General features: G+C 46.2%; 2 pseudogenes, besides 1 other annotated feature; one reads left to right on the forward strand and one right to left on the reverse strand.

Moving 5' to 3' along the window:
- Positions 1 to 18911, forward strand: part of IGSF3P2 (IGSF3 pseudogene 2) — a 30792-nt pseudogene that overhangs the window by 9363 nt on the left and 2518 nt on the right.
- KMT5AP2 (KMT5A pseudogene 2) lies at positions 1660 to 2904 on the reverse strand (annotated as a pseudogene).
- Positions 6210 to 6709: an enhancer, noted in NCBI's record as "H3K4me1 hESC enhancer chr2:91940319-91940818 (GRCh37/hg19 assembly coordinates)". NCBI's record gives its function as "activates a minimal SCP1, AML or CMV promoter by ChIP-STARR-seq in naive H9 embryonic stem cells {active_cell/tissue: H9 hESC(naive)}" and the evidence as "EXISTENCE:reporter gene assay evidence [ECO:0000049][PMID:30033119]".

Consider the following 18911-nt stretch of genomic DNA (forward strand, 5'->3'; position numbering starts at 1 on the left):
GCTGCTAAAACTATTCTTTCTTTGAGCCTTGTAATAATTTCCTTTACTTTTTATTTATATGTTTTAATATTTAAAATATTTCTCTTCAAGTGTGAAGTAAAAAGTAGCCATAGGGGTCCTCTTGTCAGTCTTTTCTTCTTTTCTCATCAACTGGATTATTTTCTTTTATGCTTATTATTATTTTGTTAAAAACCATGCACACACATACCTAATTATCTTTTTTTCCCCTGGCAATAAATATTTTAATTTGTTTCATTTTTATGATGACAAATAATTTTCAAGTTTATTTCCTTGTTTAAATACAAAGCTAAACCACAAACAGGTATAATCAAGACATTGTGTCTCACATTTACACTCCCATCGGATCCTCTTCCAATTTGCTGACCACTGACCAGGCTAGCGGGGGGTGGGTGTGGGAGGGAAGACTTTCTTAGGTAACACCGTCGTAAGGCCCGAGGTGGGGTTGGGGGGGAAATCAAAGATGAGGACAGGCTCTCATGCCTGTCTCCATTCACATTTACCTGGGACCAGGGTGGGCAGGAGACACCAGGTCATGGCTCCTGAGCCCCGGCCCCCTGGACTGAAGGGACAGTGCATGAGAATCAGTTCTGTGAAGGGCGGGAGGAAGCAGCCACCTATTCCTCCCGCCTTCACAGTTAAGGTGAAAACCTTAGCCCTATCCTTGATTCCTGGGGGCTGCCGGGCCCTGTGTGCTCCCCTGCACACCTGGGTGCCTTTCTGAGGCTGGCAGCAGCGGCTGGGGTCAGGGGTCCTGGGCTCCTAGGCTCACACCTCAGCTCAGTTGCGTCCTTGCAGGAGGACACTGGGTATCTGACAAACACAAGGCCTCGACAGCAGGTCTGGAACTTTCAACCCCAGCAGGATGAGGGGGACCCACCCCCAGGTGGATGTCAGGTAAGTAATTTCTGGTCCCACTACAAAACTTTATTTTTGGTTAGAGTACCATTCTCAATCTCTTCTACGAAAAGCAAAAAAAAAGCAGCCACTTCACTCACTTCAAGACCTATATACATGAAAGTTGTTTTCTGTGTTTTTTTAAAATTATTTTTAATTATTATTATTATTTTTTAAAATAAATTCAGTGTTCACATTTCTATAAAGAATTAACCCAGTTTCAGGAAACCCTGCCCCAGCAGGGCAGGTAAGCAACACTCTCCCTGCCCACATCTAGTTTGATTTCGCGCCCTGATGCTTCAAGGTGCCCAGAAAAGCGGCAGCGTGTGGAAGAGGAAATCTATGCCCGGCCCGTGCTTGGGGCCCAGGGCTCAGTAAGCTTTCGAGAAAGCAGAGAGGAAGACTAGCTTACTGCAAAAACCTTTTTAAAAAATATTCATACACTTCAGTGAGCGCCTGTCGAGACGTTAGGAGAACAAGAGCTTGGAAACATCCCGTCCAGGCCATTGGGAGGCAGCGTCTTCCTCACACCCCGTCCCTGGATGTCAGGGGTGCAGGGGGAAGGTCCCGGCTCTTCCACTGGAGAAAGGAGACTCACCTAGCTTCCTAGTTCATGTTTGACTATTTCCTCTAAAACCTGTGCTGAGTCTTTGACTGCATGCACGGGAAGCACAAACGTTCGGCTTGTATGCAAAAAAAAGTACAAAAACAACTAGAATATAAAAGTTTCGGTAATATAAGGCCATCTGTTCAAGTCCACCTTGGAAACCTGTAACAGATATTTAAATACTACAGTGAAAAGGCATCTTAATATACTTTTTAAAAACATCTGAAGTAATCCGCTAAGATTAAGTGTGTAAAAAAAAAATTCAATTCCCTTTGAGGGCACTTTGTCCTTTGAAGAAGGGAAAGTGGGGCGGGGAGGGCGCGGGGCCCACCGGTTAATGCTTCAGCCACGGGTGGGCTTCAATGGAAGCCTTGCTGCGGTCCCCATAGTCATACAGGAGCTCCTCCCCAGCCGCGATGTCTTGGGAGGCGATGAGGATGAGGTGAGGTACGCCGTCGATGTCGTGCAGTTTGGTTTGGCAGTTCCCACATTTGCTGTGATTGATCGGTCTTCCTGGGCGATTTGTCTCTCTAGTTGCATCCACGCAGTAGGTTTTGCTCAGATACTGAAAATAGTACATGTAGCAGCCCGTGGAAGGGTCCTGTGCATACAGAGCCTCCCGTTTCTTGGCGTCGGTGATCTCGATGAGGTCCCCGTGGTATTCCACCACAAAGGCACCCCGGGAGAAATGCTTGGTGGCAATCACACCCCTGCCTTTGCCATCGATGAGGTCAATCTTCATTCCTTCTTCCTTCCCACTTTCAATCAATTCATCTATTCTTTTCCTTTCTTCAGACTGCAGCTCGGCTTTGCTCTTCCTGGATCTCCTTCGGACAGGGTAGAAATCCGTAAGTTTGTGATTCTGTTGTGTTTTTCCTTGAGCTTTTTTTCGGGGGGCCTGTTTGCCCTTGATGGGCTTTTTCAGGGCTTGCTTGGCGATGGCTGCATTGGTGGAATCACAAGATGAGGGTGGAGTTTTTGGAGGTTCTGCTGCTTCAGATTTTTGGTTTGGAAAAGGTACCAGGGGACCTCTCCTGGCGTCTTTGATCTTCTGTTTCTTGGACTTCATGGCGCTCTGTACTGCGTTCCCAGTATTTCTTTTCTCTTCTCGTTTCCTGTAGATTCCGGCTAATGGTTTCCCCTGGCATTTGACTTCGTGATGTGTAACCGAGTTCTCTTCTTGAAGGGGGAAACGCATTCCAGAGCATTTGTTCGGGCTCATGTAGGAATAGATCTTTGACTGCCCGGTAAATACGCTCTCCCCATCGGTGCGGGGCCTCCCCGGGCCCCTCCGCTCCACCATCTCCAGGCCCGGGGCCGTCGCTGCCGCCGCCGCCGCCGCCTCCAGCGCGCGGGGCTTGGACATCTTCTTGCCTGCAGCCCGGCCAAGGCCCATGGCAGCGCGCCCCGCACCCTCGCCGCCGCCGCCGCGGCCCGGCCACCACCGCTGCCGCTGCCGCTGCTGCTGCTGCTGCCGCCGCCACCAGCGCCGCGGCGGCGCCCCGGGGAAGGGCCGGCGGCGCCCCATGGTGCCCCCTTCCCCCATGGCCGGCAAGGCAGGGCCCGGCACCCGCGCACCGCGGCAGCCCCAGGCGGCCCGGGGCGAGGCACGCAGGGAGGGAGGCACAGGCGGCGCGTCCTCAGCAGCCCGCCCGCCCGCTCCACCTAATTATCTTGAAATTATTTTGTTTCTTAGCCTTTTCCGCCCTGCAATGCCTAGCATGGTGCTTTGCATAGAGTAGGTGCTCGCTGAATACTGTACAACTGAAATTATTGAATTGAATGCCCACTGTCTTTACTATTTTCCTGTCAGTCTGTGCTTGCCTTAACCACGGACTCTCTACTTTTAAATCTGCAATTAATTCCTCATTGTTTTCTAAGGATCAAGTGAAGGGCAGCCACGCTGTTTACTTCCTATATTTTTTGTACTAAGATTTCCCCCAACCCCTTCTGAGAACTTGTTTGATGATCTGTGGCCTGCTATATTGCTTTTCCAGCAGATAACTGGGTAGTTAAAGTCCCCCAGCACCACCAGATCCTGTCCCAAGGCCACTTGGGTAAGTCGGCCGAAGAACAACAACAATCACATCGGTAATGGTGATAATGCCTTGGATTTTAATGGCGCTTTTCCTCCTAAGAGACCGAAGTGCTTCTGCATATATCATCTCCTTCTCCGCTCCCACCTCTCAAATCCTCGTAGAGGCCAATATGATATCCATCTAATGAATGAAGAAATCAGAGCGCCACACAGGAAGTGACAGAGCTGATTGTTCAGTTAGTGGTTGAGCTTGCATTGTATTAGGAAATATTTGCTTCTAACTCCACACCCACCGCCCTGCGCTTAGCCTGTGCTACACCATCAACTTCCTGATTTGAAATTTCATTTGCGAATGTGTACTCAGATTTTTATTAGTTCTGTCCTAGTTTTCACTTAATCCAGAGAGTTTAAAATTGTCGGCTGCCTTTTCTCAGGCCTGGAAATTCTTGTAAATAGTGTTAGTGGGCAGTGAGGCACCAGGTCTGTAGTTGCCTTTGCCTCAGCTGCTGTAATAAAATAGCATTTCTTCTTGTAGCCCCACATTCTAACTATGTGGGTTTCCAGGCTTGCTCAAGCAACAGAGCACCACCAAACAGTAGCCCTTTCAATAAATGAGCCAGGACTTGCATAAGCGTCCACTGGGATGACAGTAGGGGATGAGAGTGAGGTCCTGCAAGTCATTCTCCTGCTTAAGACAAGTGAAAGGATTTTCTTCCTTGATGCTGCAGTTGCCCTTTTAATCCCTTATTTTGAATTGATAACAGTGGGGATGAGTCTTTAATCTAAAGAGGAATATTGTTGTTATTAATGATGATGAAAAATAATTACCTCATCTAATCCTGTCAATGTCATGCCCTAAGAAGTAGGCACTATTAGTATCTCCATTTTTCACATGAGAAATTGGAGCTTTGGTAGGTTAAGGAAGAACCACAGGATTACAGAGTTAAGAAGTCTCCAAATCCATCCCCTTAACCATTAGTGCTATAGATGGTGACTGTTCAGGAGCCTGATTATCTCTATGAATCATCATGGTATGACTCCTGGGGGAGGTTGCCCTCCTGGGAAAATTGCTATTCCCTGCCCCATCCAGACCTTTTATTTTTCACATAAAACAAGCACATCCAGAATGGCTAGCAGGCATCCTCACTATAATAAGAGCTACATTTTGAGGCTCAGTGCTCGTCTTTGTTTCTGCTTGTTGGGGAAATAAAGGAGAGAAAAGATTTGATTCAAATGCATTGTTATGTGTATATGTGTGTTTTCTCTTGGTAATTGGGTGTGCCTCTTAAAATCTGGGATTTGATTTAATTAATTGGTTTAAATTATTGCATGTATTTAATGTGGGTGGTACCCAAAAATTGGAGCCAAATTAGTTACTTTGTGTTCTTTAATACTTACAGACCTTCTGAACTCAATATAGATAATTATACAAAATACTACGTGCATAATTAAAACATATTAGGCTATCTGTGATGTTTACAAAAACAAAGAGTTATGTGGAATAGTAAAATTAATCATGATCATGATGACCAGTTTTTGAAAACCTACTATGTGTTAGGTGAATCTATACGCATCATCTCATTTACTTTTTAATATTTAAAGAATTCTACAATTAAAGGTGGCTCTCTACCTGTCTTACAGAAGAAGAGGCTGAGGCATGTTGAGTTTAAATAATTTGATTGAGTGAATTCAGATAGTTAAGTGAGCAGCAGAGGCTAGATGAGACAGGGAAGGGAGTGGAATCCTTATCCCAAACTTTTGATTGGCCAAATGTTTCTAGAAAGAGAACAAAGGAGCCCCAGGGCTGACTGGACAGGTGGGAGAGTGGTGGATGACGAGCTGCTGGCTTTGTTTTATTCCTGTGTGTTAATGAAAGAATGAAAGCCTCCTCCTCACGCACTCTGCAAAACTAGACCATCTGTGCTCCCTTATTACCCACACTTAAGCACACGTTATCATCCAAATACTTACTGTCAGTTTTTTTTTCGTATTTCCTAAATTGTCCTGAAGGACTCAAATGGCACATTATGGATGTTCAGCTTTTATTTGACTGCTGTAGTATCGAATGGTAGGAAGAGTGAAGTGAAGTAGGATTTTGGAGTTACTCTTCTTGCTGAAAATTCAACTTGAAAAACCCTGAACTGCAGCTGAATAGATTACCCAATAAATTGTTTTATGCCCTAATCATCATGCCACTATGTTGTATTTCTTAGGTTCTTATTCAGGCTCAGGTCTTAGAACCTCGTTATCACAGTTCTCTGCACACAGCAAAGAACATCCTAGATTATCAGATCTAAAACCACAGGGAGCAATGCCCAGAACCAGCCAGGGCTTACATCAGCGAGGGTCAGAGTGTTTTTGACCCTCTGAGGCTCACCGTACCTGAATATGATTCCATTTGCACCCCTCCTCCTGTTTCCTCTGTGGGGAGGGCGCTGTGGAGACCATAAAGCCTCCAGGGTGTTTCTCTCTCCCTCTTCCTAGAGAGCAGCATCTCCGTGGAGGTGGCCAGCAATGCCAGCGTCATCCTTGAGGGCGAGGACCTGCGCTTCTCCTGCAGCGTCCGCATGGCAGGAAGGCTGCAGGGTCGCTTCTCTGTCATCTGGCAGCTTGTGGACAGGCAGAACCGCCGCAGCGATATCATGTGGCTAGACCGGGATGGCACCGTGCAGCCAGGCTCGTCCTACTGGGAGCGCAGCAGCTTTGGGAGCGTCCAGATGGAGCAGGTGCAGCCCAACTCATTCAGCCTGGGCATCTTCAACAGCAGGAAGGAGGACGAGGGCCAGTATGAATGCCATGTGACTGAATGGGTGCGGGTGGTGGATGGCGAGTGGCAGATTGTTGGGGAGCGCCGGGCCAGCACTCCCATCTCCATCATAGCTCTTGGTGAGTGAGCGGTGGGACTGGCAGTGGGTCTGGCATGGAGACAGCTTCAGTGTCAAACACCTTATCCTGACTTTTGTCTGTCAGAGTTCTAGCAGGAAACTATGGCCAGTCTTTTACCTATAGAGTTTGAAGTACTTTCCTTTATACCTATTTTGTTTCTTATAAGGGTTTAATTAATTAAGATAGTGCTAGCAGGGACTAAGGGACCCACAGTGGATGATGGGGCTCCTGAGGGATAGCAATAGCTGGGAGCTGTGACTACTCCTAGTCTGGCTGGGAGAGAGTGATGTTATCAGAACTCTATCCAGGTTAGTGAAGCCACCCAGCCATAGTTGTGGCCCCAGGTGGAGGAGCATGGCCACTGCCAGCCTGGCCTTAAAGAGAGCAGAGTGGCTGAGCACTGTGTGGCATGTCTTTCCTGCCCTGCTTCTCAGGGGCCAGCCTTCCTGAAAGAGAGCAGAGAAGGGTATAAAATTATCTGTTGTCATTTATTTAGCATTTACTATGTTCCTGGCTAATCCTTAACACTTAAGCTTAGTTGTCCCATTGAATCCCCACCTAGCCAAGTGACAGACACTTTCATTTTATGGAGGAAACTGAGACTGAGACACATTAAATACTTTGCCTAAGGCTAGAAGTTTCTACTACCTGATGGGGCCCATACCTAACAAAGCTATTCCCTCATTAGCATGGAATGAAAAGATACCTTGAGATTTGCTAAAACCAAGGAAGATTAGATTTGCTTCTCATTGGGGTAAAGAGGCTTCTATCAACATTTATCTGCTTGGATATAATCAGTATATTAGATTTTAAACGACCAGTCTGTGACTTTGCTGGGAAAGAAACTTGTTATGTCAGGTCTTCCTGTTTATCAGGAGACATCGGTTGTCCTCAGCAATTTTATGTCCCACTCCCTGGGACTGTGTCACCACCTTCCTTGCAGGTCGGGATGGTGGTGCTTTTGGATACTTCCAGTAAAGATGGCAGCCCCGAGTGGTTTTTGTCCTTAACAGAGTCCTCCATTTTCTTACCCCTCTGAGATTAGAATTACATTTGTTTTCTAAAGCTTAATCCTAAAGATTGACCTGCTTTTTGCAGTAATTATATGGCTCAGATTTCTGTCTTAGAAACTTCCTCCAGTGATTGCGTTTCCTGATCAGCTCAGTTCCTGTGTCCATACTCAGCACCTGTGTGGACCCAGTCAGATGGAACTTGGGGGACAAATTTTGGATGTCCAGTACTGGTGTTTTTTTTTTTTTTAAGCATCCTGGAAGGTTAGGAATGTCCAATGAGTGATTAGAGTTAGTGAGGATTGTTTCTCTAGAAGTAATTTATGGTATCAGGTTATCCCCTGAGTTTTTTCTTACTCACCGTATGTCTGGTGGTTCTCACAGCCAGGGGCACTGAGGGGCTCTGCCCTGGGATCTGGAGGCCAGCACTGTTCACCTGATCTCCACCACTGAGATACTTCTGGCTACAGCCATAATCAGGTGGCCCAAAGGACTGAACAAGGAAGAATGGGAGGGCACTCTAGACTAATTAAGGTTGTCTTTTCAGTCTAAAGTTAACAATGACACACATGAATTTTCATATCAGTATAATTAGATGCAGGTCCCAAATGTACAATGGGCCATTATGGCTGTTCAGTTAGAGCAGCTTGGGTGCTCTGTGACTGTGGCATGTGCCTGTGTCAGGACTAGACAAAGTCATTTGCTTGGGGAAGCTCTCTCCCCTTCAGGTGTGAGGCCAGGAGCACCTGGTGTGGGTCCTGTCCCTGAGGTTCTGTCCTACACCACCCTCATGCAACACCTACTACACACAGGTGCACAGTGACTGTCAGAGGTGCTTCATGTTTAAGGATGGGCCTCCGTGTCATAAACTTTTTTAAAGGGTATATAGAGATGAAATCCAAATCAAAGGTCCAGAGTTTTCAGCAAATTGTACCTACCTATTTGCCAACTTAACCTCACCATAGAAAGCCAAAAGATTCATCCTGTGGCCAGTCTTTCCCATTACAGAGTTTAAAGTACTTTTTTAAAATTTCTATTTCATTTTTTAACAAAATATTTAACAAAATATAGTATATCTCATGTGCCAGGTACTATTTGTAATATTTATAAACACTGATTTATTTAATCTTCACAGAGACTCATTTTACAGATTGGAAAACAGAGGCAGAGAGAAGTTAAGTAACTTTAATGTCACTCAGCTGGGAAGTGTCAAAGGCTTGGCTGCTGGCTCCAGAGTCTAGACCTTTAACCACTGTGTTATGCTTTCCATGGGTAAAGCAACCTAAAAAAGCCCCTGGAATCAGTTACATGTGGTTGGAGACTAACTCTGTCATTGACTTACCAAATGCTTGATATTGGGCAATTTATCTAACCTCTCTCTGCATCAGTTTCTACATCTGCAGGAAGAGATGACAAGCCTGCCTGTTCTACAAGGTTGTTTTGGGGATTCAGTGGAGCATGATGAGAGCAAAGCAGTTGGCACCATGCTTGCACCTAGATAGTGCTCAATAAATACTGGCTACTGTTAGCTTTATGATTGTGATCAATGTATGAATATTAAACAGTATTTCCAGGCTGAAGGAACTCTGAGGTACTCATATTGAGGAGTCAGTATTAGAGCTTAGCAGTGCTGCCCATTCAATAAGGAATATTGAGAGACCCACAGCCGCTGAGACTGCAGAACCCTGCATTTAGGACAATTGTCCCACCCCACTGGAGGTCCCCACCTGCTCTGTTCTTGGATTTCATGAGGGACGTGAGAAAGGGACTGGAGGCCGACTCCATCTGCTTCCCTTCTCGGCACCAGTGCACTAAGGGACCAGGAAAAGAGGTGTTGGGGCTGTGTGGTTGTGTTTTCCTCCTGTGCAATGGAGGAAATTGGCTTTGGGGTTTTCTTTTCCTGTTTTCTCATGGAATCTCAAGATTTCTAGGAGCAACCCTGCCTACATGCAATCAGTCCCTGAGAGGATTGTGATGTCTAATTCCAGGGGAGGAGCAAATGCACGAGGATCTCATTGGGAAGGGTTAGGCTAGTGCTGCTCAGGGGGAATTGTGGTGGGCCTTTCTTTGGAGTCTTGGAAACTCTTGGACTGGGCCTCAGCAGGATACTAAAAGCAACACTAGCCTGAGAGCTCAAAAGGGGCCCCGAGAGCCTCTGCTCCACACTGCTTGCTTTGCCAGCTGCCCCATTGCTGATGTCATACTGCCCTGAGAAAGCCACATGCCTCCTCTGGTTGAATCTCTCTGCTCTCTCTCCAGAAATGGGCTTTGCAGTCACAGCCATCTCCCGGACACCGGGGGTCACCTACAGCAACTCCTTTGACTTGCAGTGTATCATCAAACCCCACTACCCTGCCCAGGTCCCCGTGTCAGTGACATGGCATTTCTAGCCGGTGGGCACAGTGGAGTTCCATGACTTGGTGACCTTCACCCGGGATGGAGGGGTCCAGTGGGGGGACAGGTCCTCCAGCTTCCGAACCCGAACTGCCACCGAGAAGGCTGAGTCCAGCAACAACGTCTGCCTAAGCATCAGCCGAGCCAGTGACACGGAAGCAGGCAAGTATCAGTGTGTGGCAGAGCTGTGGCGGAAGAACTGCAACAACACCTGGACGCAACTGGCGGAGAGGACCTCCAACCTGCTGGTGATCAGGGTGCTGCAGCCAGGTGAGTGCTGAGGACCTGTGGGCTATGTGCCCATGCTGCCTGAGCAGACGTGAGGGAAAAAGAAAAGTGTGCATGGAGCCCTTAGCATCACTTCCCCCTTTCCCAGCTCTTCATTTAGAGACATTGCAAATCAATAGGAAGTTTTAAGAATCATGCAGTGGACACTTGTATTTCCTTTCCTTGATAGCCAGTTGTTGTCTGACAGCATTTGTTTTCTTCCTCTGTGTGTATGTTTGTTGTTGTTGTTGAGCCATTGGAGGGAAAGCTGTGGACATTGGGACACTTCCCCCTAAGTACTTCAGCATGTAACTCCTAAGAACCTACCCACCCACTGCACCATTATCACACCCTTGGGGTTTTACGTTAGTGTAGTCCTATCACCTACATTTCCCCAGTTGTCCCAATCATGCCCTTTATTTTTCCCTTTCAGATTAGGATCCAACCAGGGATCACACATCACATTTGTTATCCTGTCTCTTTAGACTCCTTTAATCTAGAACAATTCCCTAACCTGTGTGTTTGCGTGTGTGTGTGTGTGTGTGTGTGTGTGTATGTGTGTGTCTGTAGACATGGACATTTGTGAAATGCACAGGTCAATTGTTTTAAAGAAAGCCTTTTTCTTTACTTAACCTCATCTCCTGTAATCCTCATACAATTATGTGGAAGTGATATCATTGTCTCCTGTTCATAGACAAGGAAATTGTGAGTAAAGAGGGAGGGTAATAGGCACCTATTGAGCATCTTCTTTGCATGAGGTGCTGAAGGTCAGTTATTCTATTAGAATTGCACAACAACCCCAGGAAAGATTTAAGTGACTAGCTTAAGGTCATGTACCTAGTGAATGGTGGAGACAGGATTTGAACCCCGGTTGTCTCCCACAATGTTGCCTACACCCAGGCCCTGTCCAGTTGTATGGGCCCTGAATTTGAGCTCCTTTCTCTATGGAGGCTGAGTCTGTCTCAAAGCGGATCATCAGGATGCATTAATTTGGGGAGCATTAGTCAGTGGGGCTTTCTGCAAACACTCTCACCTTCGTCAGGCTCTTCTGCTGACATGCGGGAGGAGTTAAGTACATGCAGCTCTTATGGTTTTCCTCCATCTGTCCTTGTCTCCTGCCAGGTTAGAAGCTGGTGGAGGGTGGAGCCCAGGCGGTAGGCTCCTGTGTTCCTTCCCTCACCCAGCCCATGCCTCGGCTAGAACAGACACCTGTGCAGGCAAGGGCAAGGGTTTGACTTTGCAAAGATGGCTGGAACGCCTTGCCAAAGGGATTTTTCTGCCCACTAACAGCCATGGTTAGGGCCTGACCTGGTCTGCCCGACTACTTTAGGTGGCCACAGTGTTGTTTTCAGCAACATGAGGTTAAATAACGGTAACCTTTGGGTTTCTCCTTCACCTCTTCTAACCCCATAACAGAGTTCTGTTCTGTACCAGATTTGGAACAAGTGAGTTGTATAAATGATGAGACTGTTCCCTTGGCCAACGAGAGCCTAAACTTTGACTGACAAGAGGCTCAGGGAAGAGGCTGTTTTACTTAAGTGGATTTTCAGGTTAATGGAAGGTTAAGCAGAGACCCCATTTTATGTGAACCCTTGTTGTGGAAAATGTCGAGGTACCCACTTGCCTGCGTTATTGAGTGGGACATTAGGATTGTAATTGCACCTTTTTTGGTCCCCTGTGGCTCTCAAAGTCAGTTTTCTGAGCAGCATTGCCCATCACATGGTTCTGCAGCTATAGAAGGTAGAGGAGATGCTGACCTCAAGACCTTGTCTGATATTGCCTTTTTGAATCCATCCCTAGTATTTGCCTGTTTCTGGTACTATTTGGAATCTAAGACTGGAGTGCCTAAGGGAAGAATACAGAATTAGTTCATTGAAGGTTCTAATTATTTGGATTAATTTATGGTGTTACTAAAGGCAGACAGGGAAAAATATGTATGAAGTACCTCTTGGATGCCAGGTTTATGCTTAGTGCTTTACTCATGTTTTCTTTTTTAAATTTATCCAACAACCTAATAATGTAGGTGTTTGTATCCCTATTTTGCTAATGAGGAAACCAAGGCTCAAAGTGGTCAGGAATCTTGATGGAGGCAAGCCAGCTGGTTAAGGGGCAAAACTGAGATTTGAACTGAGATTGGAGCCCAGGTATCTCTGACTTCCATAGAGCAAATGTTTTCCTTTATACCATAATTGCCTCCTGGGTAAAGTAGCTGGAGGGTTGGGAGACCCCAGATCTGCTCTGAGGTTGTCTTTGTGTCTTGGGTGTCTCGAGTTGGTTTCTGTTGTGTTTTCACTGTAAAATGAGAATGAACAGTGGTTGGCAGAGGAGACTTATGAGTATCACTGTACTTGGGCTGTTATGAGGCCTCTACTTAAAGGTGCACAGTAATATACTTTTATGACCCTTTGGAGGCTAGGAAGAGCAAAGGTGGGTGCTTGAGGCCGTGCAGGACTCCCAGAGGGCAGCTGAGGCACCAGGAGAGTGCATCCCCTTAAGTGTTACTGTCTCTCCTCTATTAAATATTTATGCATTTAGCACTTAATATTTTCCAGAGAGCTTCATAAGAGTTTTTACTCTTTCTTATATATTTTGGTGCTGGTGCATTCATTTTGGGGAAATAGAAGTGGAAAAATACATGAGAGCTGACTGTGCGCTGGAGACTGTTGGACACTTGGTGTATATTATCTCACTTAATCTTCACTGCAACCCTGGGAGGAACATATTGCTTTCCCATTTTATAAATGAAGTAACAGAGGCTCTGAGAGGTTCTCAGTTCCTCAAATTAAACACCTAGTGAGTGGGGGAAAGTTGGGATTTGAATCCAGGTGTGCCTTGTTAAAAAGTAATTGTGGTAGGGAGACTTTGACCTTTTTAAAGGCTATGTAATCAGAGATTCTTCTTTCTGCATTCAGTTAATGCTGTCCTTTACAGAAGAATTTTCTCCTTGTAGATTGATGATGTGGAGGAGTTATGGCACTAGTGTTACTGGTAGTAACAACAGTAGCAGCTAATATTCACTGAACATTTCTTGTAAACCACTGGGAATGCTTTACACATAATAACTTAGTTCCTTGTTTCTTAATCCATGCAGTGCTGTGAGGGGGACCATTTTACCCAAGTTCACAGATGAGGACACTGACACAGAAGTTACATAAGTTGCCCAGTGTGCCATAGTAAGTGGCAGAGCCAGGATTCAAGTCCAGACAGGCAGTTTGGCTCCAGAGTCCAAGTTCCTAATTTTATTATTATATGTTCTAGACAAGTGTTTTTCTTCTCAGGAATCCTCTTTGGTACCGTATGCTTGTAATTAATGTTTCCTCTCTCTGGTTAACCACTCCTGATTTCCTAATCCCCTTTAGCAAGTCCTTAAATTTGTTTTTTGGAAGTTGGGGTCATAAGACACTGGTAGAGGTTCCTCAAGACACAGTTTGCTGATGGTGTAGAAGTTTTATCTTGTGCCTCTTTTAACTCCTGATTCTTCCAGCTTCTGCCACAAGGTGGCTCTAAGACCTGGGGATACCAGAGCTCAGAACCAGCGCTGTCCTCTCTTCTTTTGCTCTCCCTGCATACCTTGCCCCTCAAAACATAGATTCTTAGCCCTGCTCTGGTGTCGTCCATAGAAGTGTCCCCTGCTACCCCCGTTTTAAAGAATATTGTGTTAAATATTCGTATTCCATCAGAATCAAATAGGAACCCAGGGACTGTTGACTCACTCATGCTGGTCCATTTACCATCAGCCTTCCACTGCTGTGATATCATTTATCACAGCAAGCTTCTCTGTGGTCTGTGCCCCAGACTCGTCCCTGCTGATCCTGCCCCCATATCAGTATTCATCAGAATCTCTGGTTGGATGGCACAGTTGACTTGTGGATCTGTTATTTGACCATGCCCTGTGTGTGCTTCCTGTTGCGTATGCACATCCCCAACAGAATCTTCAAGGAATGCCATCACTGTCATGTTGCCATTGATCTAGCTTAGTCTGATCCTCATTGATCACATAGTGTGACCCCTCAAGGGGTGCTTAGGCAAGACTTTCAGCCAGTTCACATATTTGATTGTTAGCTCTTAATCAGTTTTCTCTTTTAATTGTAAAGCATAATTGCCTTGCTTCCTTCTGATTTTCTTTAGCTCAAAACGCCCTCCAATTACACATACCTAAATACAGAAGCAGTAAGGGAAATGTCAGCACTCATTTTCCAAATGTTTACGACAATATCTTGGTTTGGCTATTAAAATTGACAAAGCCATAAACAAGTTTCCATGAGGACAGCCTCCAGTGGTGGAAAGCTGACTTGTCAGAGGGTGTATTCTGCTGGGATTTTACTGATGGGCACTCAGGATGAATATTTAATACCCTCTGGATGTTGCCAAATCGGTTTTCTTCTATTTCTTATTGCTGACCTGGCAGATTGGGATAGCAGAGGGCTTTTCTTTGACTTCCATGAGTCCAGAGCATGTGAACACTGGCTCTCCTTTCACATTCTGAGGGATGACTGCCCCATCCCTCAGAGGACTGGCCTCTGCCTTCTTTCAGGGGAGTGCGGGGTTCTCCTTCTTCCATCCCAGGTGGCTTCTGCCTGTTGTCTGTGCCAAGATAGAATGGGCGTGAGTGCAAGAGCCCTAAGAGGAGAGCCCAGCCCCTCCCAGATGCCTCAGGCCTGTTGTCATGGTAACACCGGGGCACTTGTTATTGGCATCAACGAGCCAGGGTAACTGCCCTGCCTGCAGACAGGTAAGGCAGGGTAGGGCGCATCTGGGTAACCTTCATTAGCTATTTCTACCTGCAGACTCTTGCTGCTTTCCCCTTGCCCCTCCCTCCCTGTCTCTCTGCATGCATTGAGCACCTACTAAGTGCCAGGCTGCCATGCTGGTGAGGCTGCTGAGATGGGTGTGTCACGTTCCTGCCTTGCGGGCTCTGTGGGAGGCAGCAGGCCTAGGGACAGAGGAGAGCAGAAAAGCATTACAGGTGTGGAGGCAGAGCCAGCACAGGGCATGAACACGGGGCAGGGGGCAGGGGGCGTGAGGAGGGAATGGGGTAGGGGTGAGGGTGGGAGGTTGGGAAGGAGGAGTGGAGCATTTCAGGCTCAGAGAAGAGTGTGAATAAAGATAGTCATGGAGGGTGGGAGCAGCATGCTTATCTTGAGATGACTAAAGCATGGGGTCTGGGAGGGGTTCACCCCCAGGCAAGCTGGCAGGGATCAAGAAGTCCCTTTTGTACATGGGAGCATGGGGTGAGGGTGGGCATATGTAATAGCTAAAAGCAAGGACAGACCAGATGGCCTGGGTTTGAATCCCAGCTCTACCACTAAGCCAGCTGTGTGACCTTGGGCAAGTGTCTTTATAAAATTGGGAATAATATTTATTTCATAGGATTGGTGAGGACCAAATAGTTAATATTTATAAAGTGCTTAGAATAGTGCTGAGCACATAGGACCAGATGAAAGTTTGCTAAATAAATAAGAATATCCTAAACTCAGAAATTAGGACTTTAGCCCGTACCCAGATCATATACTCCATTTTTGTAATAATTTATAATATTCCCTTTACCCGGAAATGAAATTCATATACAATATAACATTCCTAATCATATCTTTAAAATTTGCTATACTGTCCTAGTTGTGGGATAAAGAAAGTTTTTTTTTTTAAAGTAGATCATAGTAAAATAATGTGTTTCAATGTGTAAATGCTCAGGACAGCTATGCTAGGAGGCACAGTCACAGTCAACGCTGTCCCTAAATGCACACTGACAGTCACCGTATCAGACTTGGTACCATGAGCAGGACTGCCATCCTGACAGGGTTTCTGAAGTCCTGAGTAACTCTTGCTACAATTCTGAACAAAACAAAGGAAAATCCTCTCTTGACTGACCTGGCATATATTAAAACCATGCAAAATAAAAGTATTGTGATTATAGTAAAATGAAAGTAGGTTCTAGGCTCAGAGGCATAATTTTTGCCCATATGAATGTCATTCGAAAGTCACACAGGACACGAGGCAGAGTTTTGTTGCATGGAGTTGTCCCAGATACGATTTTACATCTTTAATGGCTTTATTCCATTGAATATATACCCCTCCCCAAATCAATATGGCAACCAGAGACCTGCTTGCAATTAGCTGCCTTATTGAGAACTGCTGTCACGGGCTGTGGGGTGGGCAGCCGTGGGCAGTAGCATGCCCCATTTGCCATTTAGGGAAATCCCCTGGCTGTGGCTAGGCCGAGAGGGAGGGAGTGTCATATGCAGGCCAATTATAAGAGCCTGAGAAAGAGATCATTGAGGGCCCAAATAGGGAATGGTCATGTGGAGAGAGCAGGGAGCCAAGGGGTGTTAAGGACAGAGGGACTCAGGGGTAGTAACAGTTTGAGTGGCAGGCGCCTGTGCCACTGGCTTCCCATGCAGCTCACCCTGCATTCTTTCCTTGTCTCTCATCTGACTTGCTTCTCTCCACTTGAAACATTTCTCCTGCCGCAGCCACTGGCCGCCTCTATCTCTAGCATTAATGTCTGTTGTCTTTAATAAAGAGCAGTGTCTTCCTCCCTCAGTGCCCATCTCTTTGCACCTGCCACTCTGGCTGCTGCTCACACCACTGCACAGAAACCGCTTTCTCCAGACTTACCAGCAACCACCTCAGCAGCACAGCTGTTGCTACTCAAACTTGAATGTGCACCAGAATCAACTGGAGGGCTCGTGAGCCTGCAGGTTGCTGAGCCTTACTCGCAGTTTTTCTGACTTAGCAGGGGCTGGCAAATTCCCAGGTGATGCTGATCTGCAGATCCATGGCATGCACCCTGAGGGCCACAGGTGGTCAGGATCAAGTACAAGCTGCAGGCCCCTTTTAGAGTGGCCGAAGCTTACCTTTCTAACCTCATCCACTACACCTGAGCACTTGCTCCTCCTTGAATAGAGTGCACAGGGTAGTTGTCATCTTTCTTCACTTGTCCCCTCTCTCTGGCGTGCCCTTTCACTCTCCTTCTCCACTTGTTTCTCAGGGCCTAGCTCAGAGGTCACATACCTTTTGAAATGTTCTCTTTTCTATCAAAATCAGAATTGCCCCTCCTTTTAAAAAGTAACCACATTTATTCAACCATTCATTGATTAGTTTAACAATGATTGGGTCAGAGTCCCTGCCCTGCATATGCTTAGAATTTTGTAAGAAAGAGAAGACTTTAAAAATTACCTTCGTTGTAAGGCAGCAGTAACAGCTATAGTGGAGTGTAAGGAAATCCTTTATTGAAGAAATAAATGAGTTTTGAGTGAGAAGAGCACACACAGAGTGGAATCTGAAGGGAGGGTAGGCTGGCTGAGAAAGCTGCTGCTGGTCTCCGCTGTGGAGTTCTTCCCTCTTCCTGATGTCTCACCTTGAAACCACCCTATCCTGGCTTGTAACAAACGCAACAGCCTCTCCTACCATACAAAACACAGATCTTCCAAGTTTTAATCACAAGCCTGGGAAGGAAACTCTCCAGCTGCAGAAAGAAAGGGCCACTCCCTCAAAGCAGGGCCTGGCCCCTGGGGGCTGCTGTGAAGGCAGCTGCTGGCGTGAGCTGGAGCAGCTCTCGGACCCTCTTCCTGTCTCTTGCTGGATTCTTTCTTCCTCCTGCCAATTCACTGTTGGGGGTTAACCAAGCCTCACTCTTTTCTTTCACGTCTGCATTTATGGCCTCTCAAAGCCTGTTCACTCACACGGCCAAGTCCAGGGTTTCTCAGGCTTGAAGCTACTAGTGAATCACCTGGGGATCTTGTTAAAGTGCAGATTCTGACTTACTGGGTCTGGGGTGGGGCCTGAGAGTCTGCATTTCTAACAAGCTCCCAGTGCTGCTGGTCTGAGAACAGCATTTTGAGCAGGAAGATTGCCACTTATGCTTGACAACTCCCAATCTAAGTGTTGAACTTTGAACTTGGGACAAGGCACAGAAACCAAAAAGGAATGAGAATAGCTAAAATTCACTGGGTGTTTGTTATATACCAGGTTCTGTGCTAAACTATTTTTATAGACAATTGCTTTTAGTCTGCACAAAACTCCTAATGGAGATAGAGACATTGTTCTTATTTTGCAGATGAAAACACCTGTGGTCTCTAAGTGGGCAGGGCTCTCCTAGCTCTGTGGAGGAAGGTGGTGCACGCAAGCTGTACACCGCCCAGGGCAGGGCTCTGGCAGGACATGGGAGGGCTCCCTAATTATATGTGGAGATTCCAGTCTCCCCTGTGCCTCAGGAAAGGTTCTACCTGCCCTGGAGATGTGGGAGGAAATCCAGAGCATAGAATAGGAGCTGACCCCTTGCCCACCTGTCAGACATGCACCAAATTTAAAAAATGCCTCCCTTTCAAGCTTCTCAACACTTCACAATATTTTGACATGGGAAGGAAAAAAAAAATGGAAATGCTTTGGAACATTTCTCTTCCTTGAATTCTTGTTCTCAGACCATGTGACTGAATAGAAGTTTAGTCACAGGATTCCAGTTTAACATATGCAGTTACTATAGCAATTGAGGTTTCCTTAGTAACAGTTGCAAAAATAATCCGGCCCCAATTAATAATACATTTTAAAGCTCTTTCTACTCCATGCTGAACAATCCAGTTTTTTTTGGCCAAGAACCAGATAATTCAGGTGGTGTCATTTGCACTGATATAGATATCATTTGCATGCGGTGAATTGGGTTGGAAAAGAATGAAAAGGGAGCCGGTTGTTTCAAGTATTATAGGAATCCAATCTGAAAAGTCGGCTGGCAAGCGAATGCAAATCTAGCTTCCAGAGCTTGGGAGTTAATGGTAAACCCTGTCCTGGATTCCTAGTG

Source organism: Homo sapiens, chromosome 2 (genome assembly GCF_000001405.40).
Source record: "Homo sapiens chromosome 2, GRCh38.p14 Primary Assembly".
NCBI lineage: Eukaryota > Metazoa > Chordata > Mammalia > Primates > Hominidae > Homo > Homo sapiens.